Below are 21,896 nucleotides of genomic sequence, written 5' to 3'. Positions count from 1 at the left end.
TTTGCCCAAGTTTAAGAAGTCTTTTTTCATAGGAAAAAAGACTTCTTACTTGGGCAATTACAAGAATCTTGAATAGACCTGCCTACTGCAGAGTCAATGTCCATGAAGACAACCCTGCCAATGATTAGACTTTCTACTTACACAGAGAACACAGTAGCCTTTCCTTTTAGTAATGTAGTCTTTTAGCTAAATAGACCTCCATACTTGGAAAGAAAACTTCGACTAGTTATCCACAAAAATAGACATAAATAATAAGCCAAAAATGACCAAATATTTGAAGCATGAAATTGAAAGATGATAATGAATACAGAGGACAGTAAGTATAAGAGGAAATAGGTGCAATGAAAGAGACAGAAGAAAATGTAAGATTCTAACTAGTGTCTTTAGTGGTATCAACATCATGTTGTCCACCTAAAAAACATAGGTTAACATGAAATTAAAGAATTCAGAGAAATAGAAATAGTTCTTGAAAATTAAATATATTGTTTGTAGGACATTTCTGCTTCCAGTTATAATAATGTAGCTTGTAGCATTTTGATTTTCCCGATGAAAACTATCAAGGAAGTGGTATAAAGTATAGAAATGACTCTGAAAGCACTGAAGAGCTGGTAAGGCAGCCAGCACATGGGGGCCAAACCCTGGAGAGAAGGGGCTCTCACTGAGTTGAGCCCAGCTTTCTACACGCTGCTTTTCTCTTTGGGGAATTTATGTTCTGTGGCTGAAAAACAGAACAATGCACATCTTCTAAGAGGCAAGAAATGATTGAAAATGCTGCCAGGAACTCTAGGGCAGAAGACAAAAACTAGAGTTTAGAGACATGAGGGTAACCAAGGACTTATTAAAGAGAGAAGAGGGCACAAAGAAGTTAGTCAAATAGTGAACACATATTTTTATACTGAGGCATTTGCTAATTTTTAAGCCACACAGAGAAAGAAGTTAAGAAATCATGTAGAAAGTGGCCATGGTAGACTTTTTGGCAGTACCATAATATTGTACAAAAAAAATTGTAATTAATTATCCACCAAGGAGGAGAATCCTACTAAATACTCCAGGCTCACATTTGGAACATCTAGAGGATTACACGCTCAGATTAAAAGTAAGACTTACAAACACTGCCATACAGTTTAAAAATTTCCCAATTCTTACTGGACTCAGGCAATCCATTCTCTTGCTGCCTTCTGGAGAATAAAGTGAATTCTCTCTCTTGAGGAAGAAAAAAAGTCATTCATATTCTTGATAATTTTTATACCCAATATCTGGCATTTAAGAAACACCAGGCATACTAACTGAATAAGTAAAAACATACATATGCTTATTTTCACAAATAAATAAATGAATGAATGGATAACATATACACACATATATGCAGAAAGAGATACCAAGAGTGAACACAAATAGAAATACAGATGATACAGATATTGTAGTGATCAGACTTTAATTAAAACTCACTGTCATTATTTCAAGAAAATGGATGAGGAGAATATAGGAATTCACGGAGAATTAAGAATCTGTATTAAAAAATCCGAGTGGAAATTGAGAAATAAACATCATAATATCTGAAATTAATAGATCATAAATTAGTTTAACTGCAGGTAGCTGATAAAAGGAATATAAGAACTAAAAATAACTCATCAGAAAATATTCAGAACTAACTTGGAGAGCAGAAAAGACAGAAGATACATACATACAAGAATGTAAGCCGGAGGAGCCAAGATGGCCGAATAGGAACAGCTCCGCTCTACAGCTCCCAGCGTGAGCGACGCAGAAGACGGGTGATTTCTGCATTTCCATCTGAGGTACCGGGTTCATCTCACTAGGGAGTGCCAGACAGTGGGCGCAGGCCAGTGGGTGCGCGCACCGTGCGCGAGCCGAAGCAGGGCGAGGCATTGCCTCACTCCGGAAGTGCAAGGGGTCAGGGAGTTCCCTTTCCGAGTCAAAGAAAGGGGTGACGGACTCACCTGGAAAATCGGGTCACTCCCACCCGAATACTGCGCTTTTCCGACCGGCTTAAAAATCCTCGCACCAGGAGACTATCTCCCGCACCTGGCTCGGAGGGTCCTACCCCAGGGAGTCTCGCTGATTGCTAGCACAGCAGTCTGAGATCAAACTGCAAGGCGGCAGCGAGGCTGGGGGAGGGGCGCCCGCCATTGCCCAGGCTTGCTGAGGTAAACAAAGCAGCCAGGAAGCTCCAACTGGGTGGAGCCCACCACAGCTCAAGGAGGCCTGCCTGCCTCTGTAGGCTCCACCTCTGGGGGCAGGGCACAGACAAACAAAAAGACAGCAGTAACCTCTGCAGACTTAAATGTCCCTGTCTGACAGCTTTGAAGAGAGCAGTGGTTCTCCCAGCACGCAGCAGGAGATCTGAGAACGGGCAGACTGCCTCCTCAAGTGGGTCCCTGACCCCAGACCCCCCAGCAGCCTAATAGGGAGGCACCCCCCAGCAGGAGCACACTGACACCTCACACGGCAGGGTACTCCAACAGACCTGCAGCTGAGGGTCCTGTCTGTTAGAAAGAAAACTAACAAACAGAAAGGACATCCACACCAAAAACCCATCTGTACATCACCATCATCAAAGACCAAAAGTAGATAAAACCACAAAGATAGGGAAAAAACAGAACAGAAAAACTGGAAACTCTAAAAAGCAGAGTGCCTCTCCTCCTCCAAAGGAACGCAGTTCCTCAACAGCAACAGAACAAAGCTGGATGGAGAATGACTTTGACAAGCTGAGAGAAGAAGGCTTCAGACGACCAAATTACTCTGAGCTACAGGAGGACATTCAAACCAAAGGCAAAGAAGTTGAAAGCTTTCAAAAAAATTTCGAAGAATGACTAACTAGAATAACCAATACAGAGAAGTGCTTAAAGGAGCTGATGGAGCTGAAAACCAAGCCTCGAGAACTACGTGAAGAATGCAGAAGCCTCAGGAGCCAATGCGATCACCTGGAAGAAAGTGTATCAGCAATGGAAGATGAAATGAATGAAATGAAGTGAGAAGGGAAGTTTAGAGAAAAAAGAATAAAAAGAAACGAGCAAAGCCTCCAAGAAATATGGGACTATGTGAAAAGACCAAATCTATGTCTGATTGGTGTACCTGAAAGTGATGGGGAGAATGGTACCAAGTTGGAAAACACTCTGCAGGATATTATCCAGGAGAATGTCCCCAATCTAGCAAGGCAGGCCAACGTTCAGATTCAGGAAATACAGAGAACGCCACAAAGATACTCCTCGAGAAGAGCAACTCCAAGACACATAATTGTCAGATTCACCAAAGTTGAAATGAAGGAAAAAATGTTAAGGGCAGCCAGAGAGAAAGGTCGGGTTACCCTCAAAGGGAAGCCCATCAGACTAACATTGGATCTCTCGGCAGAAACCCTACAAGCCAGAAGAGAGTGGGGGCCAATATTCAACATTCTTAAAGAAAAGAATTTTCAACCCAGAATTTCATATCCAGCCAAACTAAGCTTCATAAGTGAAGGAGAAATAAAATACTTTACAGACAAGCAAATGCTGAGAGATTTTGTCACCACCAGGCCTGCCCTAAAAGAGCTCCTGAAGGAAGCGCTAAACATGGAAAGGAACAACCTATACCAGCCACTGCAAAATCATGCCAAAATGTAAAGACCGTCGAGACTAGGAAGAAACTGCATCAACTAACGAGCAAAATAACCAGCTAACATCATAATGACAGGATCAAATTCACACATAACAATATTAACTTTAAATGTAAATGGATTAAATGCTCCAATTACAAGACACAGACTGGCAAATTGGATAAAGAGTCAAGACCCATCACTGTGCTGTATTCAGGAAACCCATCTCACGTGCAGAGACACACATAGTCTCAAAATAAAAGGATGGAGGAAGATCTACCAAGCAAATGGAAAACAAAAAAAGGCAGGGGTTGCAATCCTAGTCTCTGATAAACAGATTTTAAACCAACAAAGATCAAAAGAGACAAGGCCATTACATAATCGTAAAGGGATCAATTCAACAAGCAGAGCTAACTATCCTAAATATATATGCACCCAATACAGGAACACCCAGATTCATAAAGCAAGTCCTGAGTGACCTACAAAGACACTTAGACTCCCACACATTAATAATGGGAGACTTTAACACCCCACTGTCAACATTAGACAGATCAATGAGACAGAAAGTCAACAAGGAAACCCAGGAATTGAACTCAGCTCTGCACCAAGCGGACCTAATAGACATCTACAGAACTCTCCACCCCAAATCAACAGAATATTCATTTTTTTCAGCACCACACCACACCTATTCCAAAATTGACCACATACTTGGAAGTAAAGCTCTCCTCAGCAAATGTAAAAGAACAGAAATTACAACAAACTATCTCTCAGACCACAGTGCAATCAAACTAGAACTCAGGATTAAGAATCTCACTCAAAACCACTCAACTACATGGAAACTGAACAACCTGCTCCTGAATGACTACTGGGTACATAACGAAATGAAGGCAGAAATAAAGATGTTCTTTGAAACCAACGAGAACAAAGACACAACGTACCAGAATCTCTGGGACGCATTCAAAGCAGTGTGTAGAGGGAAATTTATAACACTAAATGCCCACAAGAGAAAGCAGGAAAGATCCAAAATTGACACCCTAACATCACAATTAAAAGAACTAGAAAAGCAAGAGCAAACACATTCAAAAGCTAGCAGAAGGCAAGAAATAACTAAAATCAGAGCAGAACTGAAGGAAATAGAGACACAAAAAACCCTTCAAAAAATTAATGAATCCAGGAGCTGGTTTTTTGAAAGGATCAACAAAATTGATAGACTGCTAGCAAGACTAATAAAGAAAAAAAGAGAGAAGAATCAAATAGACGCAATAAAAAATGATAAGGGGGATATCACCACCGATCCCACAGAAATACAAACTACCATCAGAGAATACTGCAAACACCTCTACGCAAATAAACTAGAAAATCTAGAAGAAATGGATAAATTCCTCGACACATACACTCTCCCAAGACTAAACCAGGAAGAAATTGAATCTCTGAATAGACCAATAACAGGATCTGAAATTGTGGCAATAATCAATAGCTTACCAACCAAAAAGAGTCCAGGACCAGATGGATTCACAGGCAAATTCTACCAGAGGTACAAGGAGGAACTGGTACCATTCCTTCTGAAACTATTCCAATCAATAGAAAAAGAGGGAATCCTCCCTAACTCATTTGATGAGGCCAGCATCATTCTGATACCAAAGCCTGGCAGAGACACAACCAAAAAAGAGAATTTTAGACCAATATCCTTGATGAACATTGATGCAAAAATCCTCTATTAAATACTGGCAAAACGAATCCAGCAGCACATCAAAAAGCTTATCCACCATGATCAAGTGGGCTTCATCCCTGGGATGCAAGGCTGGTTCAATATAAGCAAATCAATAAATGTAATCCAGCATATAAACAGAGCCAAAGACAAAAACCACATGATTATCTCAATAGATGCAGAAAAAGCCTTTGACAAAATTCAACAACCCTTCATGCTAAAAACTCTCAATAAATTAGGTATTGATGGGACGTATTTCAAAATAATAAGAGCTATCTATGACAAACCCACAGCCAATATCATACTGAATGGGCAAAAACTGGAAGCATTCCCTTTGAAAACTGGCACAAGACAGGGATGCCCTCTCTCACCACTCCTATTCAACATAGTGTTGGAAGTTCTGGCCAGGGCAATTAGGCAGGAGAAGGAAATAAAGGGTATTCAATTAGGAAAAGAGGAAGTCAAATTGTCCCTGTTTGCAGATGACATGACTGTATATCTAGAAAACCCCATTGTGTCAGCCCAAAATCTCCTTAAGCTGATAAGCAACTTCAGCAAAGTCTCAGGATACAAAATCAATGTACAAAAATCACAAGCATTCTTATACACCAACAACGGACAAACAGAAAGCCAAATCATGAGTGAACTCCCATTCACAATTGCTTCAAAGAGAATAAAATGCCTAGGAATCCAACTTACAAGGGATGAGAAGGACCTCTTCAAGGAGAACTACAAACCACTGCTCAGTGAAATAAAAGAGGATACAAACAAATGGAAGAACATTCCATGCACATGGGTAGGAAGAATCAATATCGTGAAAATGGCCATACTGCCCAAGGTAATTTACAGATTCAATGCCATCCCCATCAAGCTACCAATGCCTTTCTTCACAGAATTGGAAAAAACTACTTTAAAGTTCATATGGAACCAAAAAAGAGCCCGCATCACCAAGTCAATCCTAAGCCAAAAAAACAAAGCTGGAGGCATCACACTACCTGACTTCAAACTATACTACAAGGCTACAGTAACCAAAACAGCATGGTACTGGTACCAAAACAGAGATATAGATCAATGGAACAGAACAGAGCCCTCAGAAATAACGCCGCATATCTACAACTGTCTGATCTTTGACAAACCTGAGAAAAACAAGCAATGGGGAAAGGATTCCCTATTTAATAAATGGTGCTGGGAAAACTGGCTAGCCATACGTAGAAAGCTGAAACTGGAACCCTTCCTTACACCTTATACGAAAATCAATTCAAGATGGATTAAAGACTTAAACGTTAGACCTAAAACCATAAAAACCCTAGAAGAAAACCTAGGCATTACCATTCAGGACATAGGCATGGGCAAGGACATGTCTAAAACACCAAAAGCAATGGCAACAAAAGCCAAAATTGACAAATGGGATCTAATTAAACTAAAGAGCTTCTGCACAGCAAAAGAAACTACCATCAGAGTGAACAGGCAAACTACAACATGGGAGAAAATTTTCGCAACCTACTCATCTGACAAAGGGCTAACGTCCAGAATCTACAATGAACTCAAACAAATTTACAAGAAAAAAACAAACAACCCCATCAAAAAGTAGGCAAAGGTCATGAACAGACACTTCTCAAAAGAAGACATTTATGCAGCCAAAAAACACATGAAAAAATGCTCATCATCACTGGCCATCAGAGAAATGCAAATCAAAACCACAATGAGATACCATCTCACACCAGTTAGAATGGCAATCATTAAAAAGTCAGGAAACAACAGGTGCTGGAGAGGATGTGGAGAAATAGGAACACTTTTACACTGTTGGTAGGACTGTAAACTAGTTCAACCATTGTGGAAGTCAGTGTGGCGATTCCTCAGGGATCTAGAACTGGTAATACCATTTGACGCAGCCATCCCATTACTGGGTATATACCCAAAGGACTATAAATCATGCTGCTATAAAGACACATGCACACGTATGTTTATTGCAGCATTATTCACAATAGCAAAGACTTGGAACCAACCGAAATGTCCAACAATGATAGACTGGATTAAGAAAATGTGGCACATATACACCATGGAATACTATGCAGCCATAAAAAATGATGAGTTCATGTCCTTTGTAGGGACATGGATGAAATTGGAAATCATCATTCTCAGTAAACTATTGCAAGAACAAAAAACCAAACACCGCATATTCTCACTCATAGGTGGGAATTGAACAATGAGATCACATGGACACAGGAAGGGGAATATCACACTCTGGGGACTGTTGTGGGGTGGGGGGAGGCGGGAGGGATAACACTGGGAGATATACCTAATGCTAGATGACGAGTTAGTGGGTGCAGCACACCAGCATGGCACATGTATACATATGTAACTAACCTGCACAATGTGCACGTGTACCCTAAAACTTAAAGTATAATTAAAAAAAAAATAGAATGTAAGAGACTTGATGAAGATATGATGAGATATGACGAAGATATTTAACATATCCATAATTTGAGTCTTGGAAATCGCAAAGGAAAAAGAATGGCAAAAGCAATCCTTCATATGATGATGCCTATGATTTTCCAAAATGATGAAAGATATCAATCTGCAGATTCAAGAAGTGCTAGGAACCTAAACAGAATTTGCTTTCTAGGAATAGAAAGTAAGTGACAAATAGGCATGTCTAATGTATTAGTACTCTTTAAAATTAAAGGTAAAGATAAATTCTTAAATAGAGGTAAAGGAAAACACACCTATTATCTTTTAAGAAGGAACATTAGACTGAGTGTTGGCCAGGCGCAGTGGATCACACCTATAATCCCAGCACTTTGGGAGGCCGAGACGGGCAGATCACCAGGTCAGCAGATCAAGACCTTCCTGGCTAACACAGTGAAACCCTGTCTCTACTAAAAATACAAAAAAATTAGCTTGGTGTGGTGGTGGGCGCCTGTAGTCCCAGCTACTCCGGAGGCTGAGGCAGGAGAATGGCATGAACCTGGGAGGCAGAGCTTGCAGTGAGCCGAGATTGCACCACTGCACTCCAGCCTGGGCAACAGAGTGAGACTCCATCTCAAAAAAAAAAAAAAAAGATAAAAAGGACTGAGTGTTGACATCTCAACATAAAAAAATAAAAGCCAGAGGATAATGAAATATTACCTTTAATTGAAAGCAAATACTTGCTATCCCAAACACTCAAATTCAGTGAAATAACATTTCCTGGCAAACGAAAACTAAGAAAACTTTTCCTTATTAATCATATTCCAAAGATAAAAAATGAAGTATTTCAGGGAAAAGAACATTGTTTTCTAGAGAAAACTAGAAATAGAGGAAAGAATAAATAGAAATTGGGAAGATAATTATGTGAGTAAATCTAATTGCAAATTTACTCTACAAAATACTAATAATGTCTACTGGCGTTTAAAGTATATGTAGAAGTAAAATACATGATGACAATAACAGGAACAGCAGACGGATGTTAAATGGAATTGTCTTAAAAATGAGCACTAGTTTATACTAAAATATATTAATTCAAGAATGAATTTTTTAATATCTTGAAAGCCAATGAAAGAAGAGTAAGCAAATGTATAAGTAAAAACATAATAGAAGACAATGAAAAAAATAAAAACACTTCATAAAAAAGAAGGCCAAAAAAAGAAAATAAACATTAAGGGACTGAAACTGAATAATATCTGTATATAATAGACTAAGTACTGCAAACAAAACACAGATTTTCTTACTAGAACAATAAAATCACAAAAACAAACTTTGTGCCTAAGAAAATATACACTTCAAGTATGAGGGCACAAGAGGCTAAAGTAATAGAATGTAAAATGATGTATACTATGCAATGGCAACATGGAAACAGCAAGCTGATTTACTTATATTAATATAAATCCAGTTAACCTTAAGTTCCAAAGCAGTAGTAGAGATGAAAAAGCACATTTCATTCATTGTGTAATAGACAGTGTATTTGTTTTCTATTATTATATAACAAGTTATCACAAATACAGCAGCTTAAAACAATACACATATATTTTCTCTCAGTTTCCATAGAGTAAGAGCCCAGAAATGGCTTAGCTGGGTTCTTTGCTCTGAGGTCCCACCACGTTGCAATTAATGTCTTGGTTGGACTACATTCTCATTTCATCAATAAGATTGATGAAGAAAAGTGATAGTTTTTGACTGTCTGGAAATGTTATTTTACTGAATATGGGTTTCTGGGTTGACAGATACTGTATTCCATTGAAAGTGCCATTTCGTTGTCCTCTGGCTAGGTAAGAATCTACTCATCTAGATTGTTGACAGAGTTTATTTCCTTGTGGCTGTATGACAGAAGGCTCGGCTTCCTACATGCTATTAGGTGGAGGTTGCCCTCAGGTCTTGCCTCCTTCATGGGCAGTTGACAGCATGGCTGTTTGCTTCTTTAAGGCCATCAAGAGAACTTTCCCTGTGTGGCTAAAACAGATTCTTATAAAACAATGTAATCATGGGGTGTGTGATGGTTAATACTGCCTGTCAACTTGATTGGATTGAAGGTTGCAATATTGATCCTGGGTGTGTCTGTGAGGGTGCTACCAAAGGAGATTAACATTTGAGTCAACAGACTGGGAAAGGCAGACCCACCCTTAATCTAGGTGGGCACAATCTAATTAGCTGCCAGTGTGGCTAGAATATAAGCAGGAAGAAAAATGTGAAAAAGAGAGACTGGCCTAACCTCCCAGCCTACATCTTTCTCCCGTGTTGGATGTTTCCTGCCCTCAAACAGCAGACTCCAAGTTCTTCACTTTTGAGACTGGGACTGGCTCTCCTTGCTCCTCAAGCTTGCTGTCTCCTATTGTGGGACCTTGTGATTGTGTAAGTTAATACTTAATAAACTCTCCTTTATATTTGTGTGTGTGTGTGTGTGTGTGTGTGTGTGTGTGTGTATTAGCTCTGTCCCTCTAGGGAATCCTGACTAATACAGGGTGACCATCTTTGCTGTACTTTTGGGCTAGAAGCAAGTCATGAGTTCCTCTTTGTCTTAGTTTGTTTTCTGATGCTCCAACAGAATACCCAAAACTGGGTCACTGATTAAAAAAAAGAAATGTGTTCCTTACAGTTCTGGAGGCTGGGAAGTCCACAGTCAAGTGACCAAATCTGGTGAGGGGCTTCTTGCTGGACCCTCTACAGAGTGTCAAGGAGGCACAGGGCATCACATGCTAAGGGGGCTGAGTGTAGTAGCTCAGGTCTTTCTCCTCCTATAAAACCACTAATACCCCACCCTCATGAACTCGCCGAATCCTTAGGATTACCTCCCAAAGTTCCCACCTCTTAATACTGTTACAATGGGGATTAAGTTTCGACATGAGTTTCTGAGGGGACAAACATTCGAACAGTACACCTTACAGAAGGTGGATTATACAGGGCATCATGCTAGGGGATGGATAAGGATATTTTTTCAAATGGATATGAATTGTTAAATTTAGACTTGCCAGCTTGTAAAATAATCCTCAAAGAATATAAAAGCATTGAAAATAAATATTGTCTCTGAATATTAAGTTAAATAATAATAACATGCAACATTATTATAATGTGGAGAAGGTGGTAAAAAGCATAAGAGGATAATGAGGACAAAGAGGCAGAGGGGAAAAGAAGGTCCCTAAATTCTTGAAAAAAGCACATGTCTAAAGAACAAATGGATCACAGAAAAATAAAAAAGTGTAAATTAGAAAATATTCTGCACTGAATTATCTTGAAAATGCAACATATCCAAGTTGTGAAATACAGGGACAATCCTTCTTTGAGGGATATTTACCACCCTAAATGCATACATTATGGAGAAAAGGCTGAGTATTAATCAGCTTAGTTTCCATCTTGAGAAAGTATAAAAAGAATAGTAAACAAACACATAAAAGGTATAACAAAGGAAATAATAATGGTAAGGGTGGAAATTCATAAAATAGAAAACCATAATACAATAAAAAATAGACAAAATTTTTTCTTGAAAAATAATGAAGTTCATAAACTACTAGTCAAAATTACCAAAAAAAAAAAAAAAACAGAGAAAAAGACGTGTGCAAAAATGTAATGGTGTCATTTTCATTGAAATGGTTTCTAATTTTCTTTCCAAGTGCTGTTGGGTATTTTTCTTTTTAAGGAAAACGTGATCACTTTTATGTTTCACACTTGAATTTATAAAGTGCTGGTAAATTATTTTTAATGATTTGAGTGCATGTTTTAAACCTCTAAGACCAGAGCATAGTCATAGCATTTCTTTTAAATTATGCACTAACAAAATGCTATATAACTTGTCTTCTGTCCAAGATCTCCTGGACATTGTAAGGGATTTAACCAAAATCTTGCTCTTCCTTCCATAATCTTACTCTGTGAAATAGAGGAATCTGTGTGCCTTAGATTTAGAAGTGTGTTCTTTAATAGAGTGTACAGGGCTAAAAGAGTATTTAAGTTAATATGCAGCTTTCCCCATCTGTATTGAAATTGTAGAGTTGAGTTTTGTTAAGAGTGCAATTGCAAATCTTATCTGTATAGGAAAATAACTAAATGTCATTTTCCATCTCTTTGTCTTAGTTTACTGCTTCCATGTGCAATCTAAGCATTCTTTGCTGGGACAACTAAATGTATCTTTATTAGGGACCTCCAGTCCAAATATAAGAAACTGTCATGTTTCATGGGAAAATAATTTTAAAATCCATTTAAAGTGAAACTTTATCACACAAATAGTACACTTATTTTCTAACCAAATACTTGATAGGTTATGCTACTCCAGTGTAGGTGGCCATTCCTAATTTGTTTGTGCCTGAAGGTGGACTTGATTCAAATGGTTTACGTATTTAGTAGGTAAGAAATATGTTACAGTACCCCACCTTTAAATTATTTATTAGCCCTAATTGTGCTTGGTTTCAGACAAAATTAACCCGTTTCTCCTGTGTATCTCTGAAGTGGCAGATAAGGGGAAGCATCAGACTGATACCAATGTTAGAGAATGTTCTTACGTGTTCCTACTTTGCAGTTATCTATTCCATTTGACATAGTAGGAGGTACATTCTCTTTCTACTCTGATGCATGGAGAAGGATGTTTTTGGACATTATCAACTGAGATAGGTGGGAAACCTACCTCTCATTTGTGGCTTAGGGAACAATCATCATTTCAGAACTATGATGCTTTTCTTCTCAAAGCTTGTGTTAAGTATATAGTAAGCAGATTCATTCATGATAATTGTCCTTGACTATTGACCTGAAAAGACTAATGGGATGCCTTTTACTTCCCTAATTTTAAGAACTGGTGATTGATGTCAAATCCATTAATTTATTTAAACCCTTCTTAACCTTTGTTTTATAATCTGTTCTCAGGTTTATAACTCCATGTTTACCATCATTTGCAAAAAGTTACCAAAAATCCGTAAATAAATATGGAATACATTCATAAGTACATACTTTCTTTTGGTAAAATGATATTTTAACAGTCTAGGACATTAATAGAACTGTTCTCATTCTTTGTACTGCATTAATTGGTCATTAACTGGTCATCCAATTACTATTTTTGCTTTCAGTCCAAAATAGTTAGACCCTTGTATATAGAAGTGGTATTTTGGTTTTTAATCGGATTTGGTTTCATCAGAAGAAGCAAGAATGGGCCTGATGTCTTTAAAAGCATAGCTGACAATGGTAACTTCTCAAGTTGTGAAATAAAAATAAGACATAATGGAAAAAAAAAAGAATATAGAGTCCTATGACAGGAATAAGTTTGTGGCAACTAAAAGACACCCCAAGAATGACTTGGGGTTCTAATGATATTCTCTTTCCTGATCTGGGTGGTGGTTGTATAAGTGTGTGATTTTAACTTGATAAAAATATTTTGAGCTAGACACTAAATTTTTTTTATGTTTTTTATATATATGCTGTGCTTCAATAAAATTACGTAAAACTGTAATAAAATAATAAACACAATGAATAAAGTAATAAAAATCATTACAATTGAAAAAAGTGACATATCAATGATTATATTGTTTTTAAATGTCCCAGTTGATTACTCTAAACTAACATAAACCTTTAAATTTAAAAAGTTAAATAAAATGAAAATGCCTAGAAAAGTATCAAATATCCCCCCCTCCCACAATAAGAAATTGAAATCCTTTCAAAAAATTTAACTGACAATAAAATCACAAAAGTCATCACGTCTGTAATCTCAGATCTTTGGGAGGCTGAGGGAGGCAGATCACAAGGTCAAGAGATCAAGACCATCCTGGCCAACATGGTGAAACCCCGTCTCTACTAAAAACACAAAAATTAGCTGGGTGTGGTGGTGCATGCCTGTAAACCCAGCTACTCGTGAGGCTGAGGCAGGAGAATCACTCGAACCCGGGAGGCAGAGGCCGCAGTGAGCCAAGATTGTGCCACTACACTCCAGCCTGGCAACAGAGTGAGACTCCGTCTCAAAAAAAAAAAAGTCATCAGGTCCAGGTTTATAGCGAAATTTTATGAAATCTCCAAAATTTGGTACATGCTTCAAAAAATAAGAAGGAAAAGCCAACCCCTCTTTGATTTATTTTGTTCATCCTGGAACACTTTGAAAGCAAAATTAAACAAAGAAAATAAACATATATAGACCAAACTCACTTGTAAAGATTCAAGTAACTTTTTTTTTTTTTTGACACATGGTCTCACTGTGTTGCCCAGGTTGGAGTGCAGTGGCGAGATTCAACCTCCTGGGCTCAAGTGATCCTCCCACCTCAGCCTCCTGAGTAGCTGGGACTACAAGCAGGCCTGGCTAATTTTTCTATTTTTTGTAGCGACAGGGTTTTGCCATATTTCCCAGGGTGGTCTTGAACTCCTGGGATCAAGTGATCCTCCTGCCTTGGCATCCCAAAATGCTGGGATTAAAGGTGTGAGCCACTGTGCCCGGCCCTCAAGTAAATCTTAAAAATTTATTTGTGCTAAAGGAAGTCTAAAACTCTCATACTGAAAAAAGTCAACTGGATTTAAGACAAGATAAGTTAGTAAAAATGCCTACACTAAAAATTTATCTAGAACCAATTCTAAGAATACTGAGAAATATTTTATCAATATTGAATATTGAATAATTTATTAATTCTAAGAATACTGAGAAAATTGTAGAATTTATGGGAAGATAAAATGCAAGTTAACCTACAAAAGTAAATATATATATCCTTCAGGATTGAATGCCTATAAGAACATTAAGAAATATTGTTATTAATCTAGAATTCAGTTCTTAGGTATACTGGCGATCAAGTGTGAGTCTAAAATAAATGTATTTTTAGAAATTCGATCATTCAGGAAGTTTATCTTTTTAAAAATAATATTTGAGGCTGGGTGCGGTGGCTCACACCTGTAATCCCAGCGATTTGGGAGGCCAAGGTGGGCGGATCATGAGGTCAGGAGATCGAGACCATCCTGGCTAACACGGTGAAACCCCATCTCTACTAAAAATACAAAAAATTAGCTGGGCGTGGTGGCGGGCGCCTGTAGTCCCAGTTATTCGGGAGGCTGAGGCAGGAGAATGGCATGAACCCGGGAGGCGGAGCTTGCAGTGAGCCGAGATGGAGCCACTGCACTCCAGCCTGGGCGACAGAGCGAGACTCCGTCTCAAAAAAAAAATAATAAAAATAATAATAATAATATTTGAGCCTCTAGTGAGAGGAATCCTGGAAAGAGTAGGTAAATAAATATTCATGCAATACCAAATATATATGTGTATATTCCAGGTTGTCAGCTTTACAGCAGATGTAGGGGAAAAAAAAACAGTTTAAATTAGAAGGGGAAATCAGTCTGAAAGATTTCATCAGACAAATGAAAACATTAATATTCTAGCAGATCATATGTATCACTATGTAGGTGTTTCTTCAACAAGATTAAATAAAATTGGAAGCCATTGCTAAAAACAAAACGCATCCACAAACAAAAAAACAAAAAACAAAATGAAACAGAAAACACCAAGATAGTCATGGTCCTAAGATGAAACAAACCAAACTGTTACATGACAGATTAAGAAGACTCATTTCATACTTATTTTGTGTCCTAGGATCACTTTTCAATTTCCGCAGGTACTATTGTACTTCTTGTTAGGAATAACATTCAAAAAACAATAATACTCTTAGCATTGCTAATGTACTTGAGTTTTTAGAATCAGCTTAGAGCAAAGTGTCAAATGATTATTTATAATTACAGAAGAGAGATAAGGAAAAATTTATCATTTCCTTGTTTCAGATGTCGGGAAGTTGACAGAAAGTGTTTAAATTTGAATCTTCAAGAAATAATTCTAACTGTTGAAGTATAGTACTTATGCTTATAAATAGAATAAACTACTACTAACAATAGCAATAATAATAAAATAATAAATAATAACAGTGTGGATGAGAGAAGGGAGATGGGAAATAAGCTAAGTTTATTAAATCTCTTATCTTTTCCAGCAGGGCAATAGCATATATTGAAAACTGTGAATACATCAAATGACCAGAAGTTTCTGTACATTCTTTATTGTCACGGTAACCAGCATTGGAAATAAATAATCCTTTCTGGGGAATAGGAATGAAATGAGCTTGGAGGGAATATGTTACTTCTACTTTTATAATCTTCAATATTGCTTACATCTCCTATTTTACACATCTCCAAATGAAGTTAATAAAAACAAATAAATAATTATAATCTGAATTTATCTACTTACTATTTTCCGCCTGATGTTTAAATCCTCTCTAAGATATTTGAAGCACTAGAATACCTCTATCTAAAGGAGTGACAGGTAACTATATGCCTTCTGAGACAGACACAGAACTATATTTTTCTGTATGTCTGATAAAGGGTCTTCTTTTCTTTCTTTTCTTTTTTGCACAGCCATATCTTATTCTTCACGTCTTCCACGTACAGTATGTTGTTGTTAGCATCTTTCACGTTTTCTGTTAGGCTCTGCCTCCCTGATTCTTTCCTTTCAGAATATTCATATTTTACTTCCAAGTGTGGGCATCTCTTGTTATATTTTTTCCCTTTTTAGCTGAGGAAATTAAATACAAAATGGCTGAGAGAGCAAAGCTTCAGTTTATTGGTTAACAGCTGTGACTGTCAAGTTAGACTGGTCTTGTTAAAATGCCACCTCTGTTTACCTTGCTGAGCCCATTTCTTTACCAGCCTAATTGGTCCTAGTTGATCCTAAATTGGTCCTAATTTTGCATGACAGGTATCTCATAACTCTTGCTATGATGCTGTAAGGTAAATAGTTAATAGGTAAAGTATGTGTCTGAAATTGCAGAGGGAATAATTCTTTTCTTTTGGATATTATATCCAATAAGATATAGAATATCATATATATTGGATATAAGATATAAATCCTATACATATATATAATCCAACATGTATACCCAATATACTGGATAATATATTCAATAGGCATTTTTCATTATTTTTCCTAATCTAGAGGACATGGGTTCAACATCTGAAAACAATAACCGTGACATAGTGACTAACCATACAAGATGCTCAGTGAATATGTCCCAAAAGAGAAAAACTCAATATTTATTTGATCTACTTTCCACTTTCTTTTCCTGTGCTTCCTCTTTTCACCCCAGGCTTAGGGAAATGGAGGAAAGAACTGCTTTTTGTGATTAGGCTGCTTTTCTTTCGAACAGGTTCAGTGGATCCAGGAAACTCTCTTTGCATTGGAAGGGACCTCAGAGGGTTCTCTAGGAAATTTCTAGTTGATGGATGAGAAAGCTGAGGCTTTCCTCATCACATGCCATCCACAGGACACCACTCAAAGCTGCCATATCTATTCCCCATTTTCCATATTTATTCAGCTTCTAATATAGCCACTGTCTAAAATATTAATTCAAATTATTAAAAAATAAAACAAAATGAGGACTTTTGTAGCAAAAATTATCACAATTTGAATACGAATTTGTGGTTTTAATTTTTTACTCACCCTTTTGAAAAACTGATGAAAGATCAAGACTCCCTTCCTACAGAAGAAACTCAAACACATATACATACAATTTTGCTTACAGTTTCAGGGAGTTCATGAAATCCTTTGAGCTCATCTCTAGACCTCAGGTTAAAAACCCACGACCTACAAATCTTCTAAAAGCAAGTGTTGGTGTGTATTCACGTTTAGCATCTATCAGATAAAAACATCTAATGCAGATGTTTTTATCTGTATTAAAATGAAGATAAATACTTCATTTATCCTGAATGGCACAAAGGGTTTTATAATATCTAGTTAATGGACAGAAACCTCAAGCTGGCTTGATCTAAGGGGAGAAGCACATTAGAAATGCATCAGTTGATGTGAATGGCCTTGTGGATCTCAACAGAAAAAAACAGAATGGTGAATGCAAACCGTTTCGGTTTAATACCATCATGTACGTTTTGGTCCCATGTATATCTCGGCCTTTGGGTCTCATTTATCTCAGCAGACTTAAAATATCCTTCTGCTCTCACATGATAGCTTGTCAATAATTATTAAATAACTTGCAGACAGTTTTAGAAAAATGCCAGTGAGATTCAGAAATGATACGGAACTTTGCTCCCTACCTTAGAAATTTTGGAAAATTAAAGTAAAGCCAACTTGTTAGTGCTTTTTTTTTTCCTTTATCATTATTTTAGTTTGATTGGCTTTAGAAGAGTCAGGGAAAACATAAATGTGTTCACAATATTTGGACAACATGTAACTTGTAGGCAGATTGCTAGCTAGAACTGTTGATTTGGGTTACTGTGAGCCTGACTGATGGGAAGGAGGAGATGGGTTGAATATTCCTTGATGGATGGTAACTGAAAGATAAAGTGTGTGTTTTAAGTATGGTAAATTATTTTCAAAACTTTCCTTGGCTTCCTATAAAGATAGAATAGCTGAAAGTAGACAGATGAATTAAATGACTCTCTAACATTTTCATATTAGAGACCAAACCTGCTAACTGACTTATCATAGAGACAGGTCAAAAGAAAGCCATGTGTAATTCAATTTCACATTGTTGCAATGTGTGAATTTATATGCATATCAAAACATGGACCTCATATGAAAATCTAGCAAGGTATGGTTTACCAACCATCCAAACAATAATGCCTTTAGTAACTGTTCTTCAAGCATTTATTCATCTCATCTCAGTGAATGATGGTCAAGTAAATAACAAAATACATTGTATTGATTAATTTCCAAAGTGCTTTTATTCCCATGATCCCATCTGATCTTCACATCAATCCTATAGAATTAGTAGTAAAAGTTATATTATTCTTTCCAGAAATAGACTAGAAGTACTACCCTAGTTTATGTTGAAACATCCTAAAGATTCATTTCTTTGTGGCTTTAGGTTGTATTAAATAGAATTATAAATCATTTCATAACACATTTATGTTTAGGGACAAAAGATGATTTTTAATATTTAAAATAGAACTAAAGATGTTTTAGTGAACATATTTATTTCAGGGAGAATGAAAAACAATTTTTGCTAGTTTTATTTCAAGGAAATGAAAACCTAAACCCTACTTAGTAAGTAGATTGCTCTACAGAATGAAATAGTACTAAGCATTAGAACAGGCATGCCAAATACTAGGCAGGCATGCTGACACTATATGCCCCTCATTCAAGGCAGACATTCCTAACCAATCAAAGCACTCTTTTTTGCAGAGCTCAGATTTAGCCCTGGTCCTTTGCAATACAGGCAACCACCATGAGTGGATGAGTCTTCAAGAGAGATTAAACTAACTGGTCATTCCTTAACTAACAGAAAGTTTGTACGTTCAGTTCTTATTTTGTATAAGCCACCTCCACCCTGGAGAGAAGAAAGTTTTCTTTTAGAAATTGACATAAATAATGGTTTTGTAAATGCTGACATTATAATGGACAATGAAATTGACTAATTGACTAAAACAAAATAAACTACATGGATTTTTTTCTTTGAGCGTGTGTTTTGTAATTGAAGTGCAGCAAGACAATGGAGCATAAACGTGGACAAAGAAGATAAGTTTGTGTTTGTCTGCATGTCTCGCCACCCTATTTGCATAAAGCATTTGTAATTACTATGAGGTTTCCATAACATACTAAGCAACTAACATTGGCTTAACAGGATATCTTTTCTTTGCTAGATTCATCTGGAGGGCTATCACAAATTATGAAGGTGCTCAATTTTTGCCATAACAGAGATAAGGATAGAACAGCTGAGGGTAGACATATGAATTAAATCACTCTCCGATATTTTCATATTAGGGACCAAACCTACCAAATGCAAACTGAATGCTGACACCTATTGTCACAAAACAAATAAAACAAAACAAAAAAGAACAGAAAAAAAAAAAAAAAAGGAAGAAACGTAGCATCAGATCACATACTGAGATCTGTGAGCAGCCGATCACATACTTTTTCTTTTTCTCCAACAGCTTTAGTCATAATGTTAGGGATAAGCTAGACAAAGGCTGTATTTTTATTGTACCTTTAAAAAATGTCAAAGAAAGGTTTCTTGCTAACAAGTGCTTTTAAGCACATGTGAGAATGTTTCATAAAGATGGCTAATCTGATAAGCTAATTGGTTTTATTTAATGAGATGTATTAGGGAATTGGAATTCCTGGGATCGAGTTTTTTTTCTGTCTTTTCACGGAACTTTACCCATATTTCGAAAAACTATCGTACTTCTTGAGTTTTTATATCTTCTGTGCAAGACAGTAAGCACCAGGAAGGAAAAGACAATATGAAGTTTCAACAGTTTGATTAATTTTGACATATAGTTAAATCTCTAAGCATGTTAGTTATATGAAAAATAAAATCTTTAGGCTGGGCGTGATGGCTCACGTCTGTAATCCTAGCACTTTTGGGAGGCCGAGGCGTGTGGATCACCTGAGGTCAGGAGTTAGAGATCAGCCTGGCCAAAATGGTGAAACCCAGTCTCTACTAAAAATACAAAAATCAGCGGGGAGTTGTGGTGCGCACCTGTAATCTCAGCTACTCGGGAGGCTGAGACAGGAGAATCACTTGAACCCGGGAGGCAGCGGTTGCAGGGAGCTGAGATAGAGCCATTGCACTCCAGCCTGTGTGACAGGAGTGAAACTCCATCTCAAAAAAACAAAAAAATCTTTAATGACAACTTTCTAGCAGGCAGATACATTTGTTGTTTTTGTTTTCTCCTCCATCAGGGAATGCTGCATCACTTAAGCAGAGTGTTGAGCCTAGAGAAAGAACTTTAGATATTTTTGATGATTGATTAATGTAATAATTTAAAAAGTAATGATGAAATAATCTTTATTTATTGGAAGTTGAAATGTGCAATGTAAATTCATACTCTGGGCTAATGGGAAGGGATTTTTTACTTTCTCTTCCACTGAACTGTAGAGCTGTATTTTCTTGGGATATTATTAAAATAGAAGACGCCGCATCTCCTGTCACAACAAGATGGATTATTGTAGGATTTACTTGTCGGGCTGTGAAATGACCCTCAGCATTAAGGCAGCCCAAGCGCTGATTTTCGAAGCGGCCTCATTGCCTTCAATGCGGGATGTGATGAATCGCTGCTTGATATGTCAGTGTTTTTTTTTTTTTTCCTAAAATGCTATTCTGTCTTTCAAAATGCACACATATTCACACATGCTCAGAGAGTAATGTGTACAAGAAGAAGTTTGATAAACATGGAGAGAACAAATGTGGGAAAATGGACCAATCAGATGACTACAGAAAAATTGCAAGTAAACTGGCAGGTTAGTGAAAGCAAAATCAAACTAAATGAAAACAAGTGCAAGGAATCAGATGACCCACATTAAAAATTAAGTGTCACTCTTCCTAAATGTACTCAATTCTAATCTTAGCTGTGGTTTCTGCTTGGCTTTTCTTGAGAGCACCTATATGAAAGTTAATTGCTAAACTTCTTCACAGAGACAACCAGATTTGTGCAGAAACACAAAAACTGTAGCAACCTTCATTTTTGTTATTAGCAGCCTATAGCAAAATAAACAAAGAAAATCAGCTATTTAAAAAAAAAATCAACCATGATACTGACTTCAAATGCATAAAGCAGGGATGGAGATGCTAATTTGTATGTGTGCCAGAATGCTATTTTCATTGACTATGGACACGTTAATTTATGAATGCCACATACAAATGTAGGATGTTTATTAGAGTCAGTTAGTAATGCATCCAAGTATTTGTCATGATAGTTTTAACAAACATATGTTGGAACTGGACAGGAACTGTGAACAAAGACAGAAAGAAATAAGTGGGAGGAAAAGTGATAAGAATAATGGCCTCATTTGGGCGTGGTGGCTCACACCTGTAATCCTAGCACTGTGGGAGGCCGGGGCGGGCACGTCACCTGAGGTCAGGAGTTCGAGACCAGCCTGGCCAATATGGTGAAACCCCATCTCTACTAAAAGTACAAAAATTAACTGGATTTGGTGGTGTGCCTGTAATCCCAGCTACTTGGGAGGCTGAGGTAGGGGAATCACTTGAACCCAGGAGGCAGAGTTTGCAGTGAGCTGAGATCGCACCACTGCACTCCAGCCTGGGAGACAGAGCAAGACACCATCTCAAAAGGAAAAAAAAAAAGGATAATGGCCTCTACAAATTAAAGAACTTTGAAGGATAACTCTTAAGACTCCCTTACCTGGGTCCAGTCAGGAAGCTTGTTAAAAAGAATGGT

General features: G+C 37.3%; 1 long non-coding RNA gene across 9 annotated transcripts in view, besides 4 other annotated features; it reads right to left on the bottom strand.

Annotated features, from left to right (window-relative positions):
- LOC105376944 (uncharacterized) overlaps nucleotides 1-2,189 on the bottom strand; it is a 246,298-nt gene extending 244,109 nt beyond the window's left edge. For 4 of the 9 annotated variants that reach the window (NR_188696.1, NR_188698.1, NR_188697.1 and 1 more), the window contains exon 1: nucleotides 1,689-1,906. This is a non-coding gene — a long non-coding RNA (uncharacterized LOC105376944). Of the gene's footprint in view, nucleotides 1-1,684; nucleotides 1,907-1,958 lie in introns of those variants that run through there. The other 5 variants (NR_188695.1, NR_188694.1, NR_188693.1 and 2 more) reach the window with 2 other exon arrangements.
- Nucleotides 1,219-2,418: an enhancer, noted in NCBI's record as "CDK7 strongly-dependent group 2 enhancer chr3:6531900-6533099 (GRCh37/hg19 assembly coordinates)". NCBI's record gives its function as "activates an origin of replication core promoter dependent on BRD2, BRD4, P300/CBP, MED14 and CDK7 cofactors, with strong dependence on CDK7, by STARR-seq in HCT116 cells {active_cell/tissue: HCT116}" and the evidence as "EXISTENCE:reporter gene assay evidence [ECO:0000049][PMID:35650434]".
- Nucleotides 1,219-2,690: a biological region, named in NCBI's record as "CDK7 strongly-dependent group 2 enhancer GRCh37_chr3:6531900-6533099".
- Nucleotides 1,371-2,029: an enhancer, noted in NCBI's record as "OCT4-NANOG-H3K27ac-H3K4me1 hESC enhancer chr3:6532289-6532947 (GRCh37/hg19 assembly coordinates)". NCBI's record gives its function as "activates a minimal SCP1, AML or CMV promoter by ChIP-STARR-seq in naive and primed H9 embryonic stem cells {active_cell/tissue: H9 hESC(naive and primed)}" and the evidence as "EXISTENCE:reporter gene assay evidence [ECO:0000049][PMID:30033119]".
- Nucleotides 2,030-2,690: an enhancer, noted in NCBI's record as "OCT4-NANOG-H3K27ac-H3K4me1 hESC enhancer chr3:6531628-6532288 (GRCh37/hg19 assembly coordinates)". NCBI's record gives its function as "activates a minimal SCP1, AML or CMV promoter by ChIP-STARR-seq in primed H9 embryonic stem cells {active_cell/tissue: H9 hESC(primed)}" and the evidence as "EXISTENCE:reporter gene assay evidence [ECO:0000049][PMID:30033119]".

The sequence above is a fragment of the Homo sapiens genome, chromosome 3, assembly GCF_000001405.40.
Source record: "Homo sapiens chromosome 3, GRCh38.p14 Primary Assembly".
NCBI lineage: Eukaryota > Metazoa > Chordata > Mammalia > Primates > Hominidae > Homo > Homo sapiens.
Note: the sequence above shows the minus strand (reverse complement) of the source record. Positions and strands in the feature narration are given on the sequence as shown.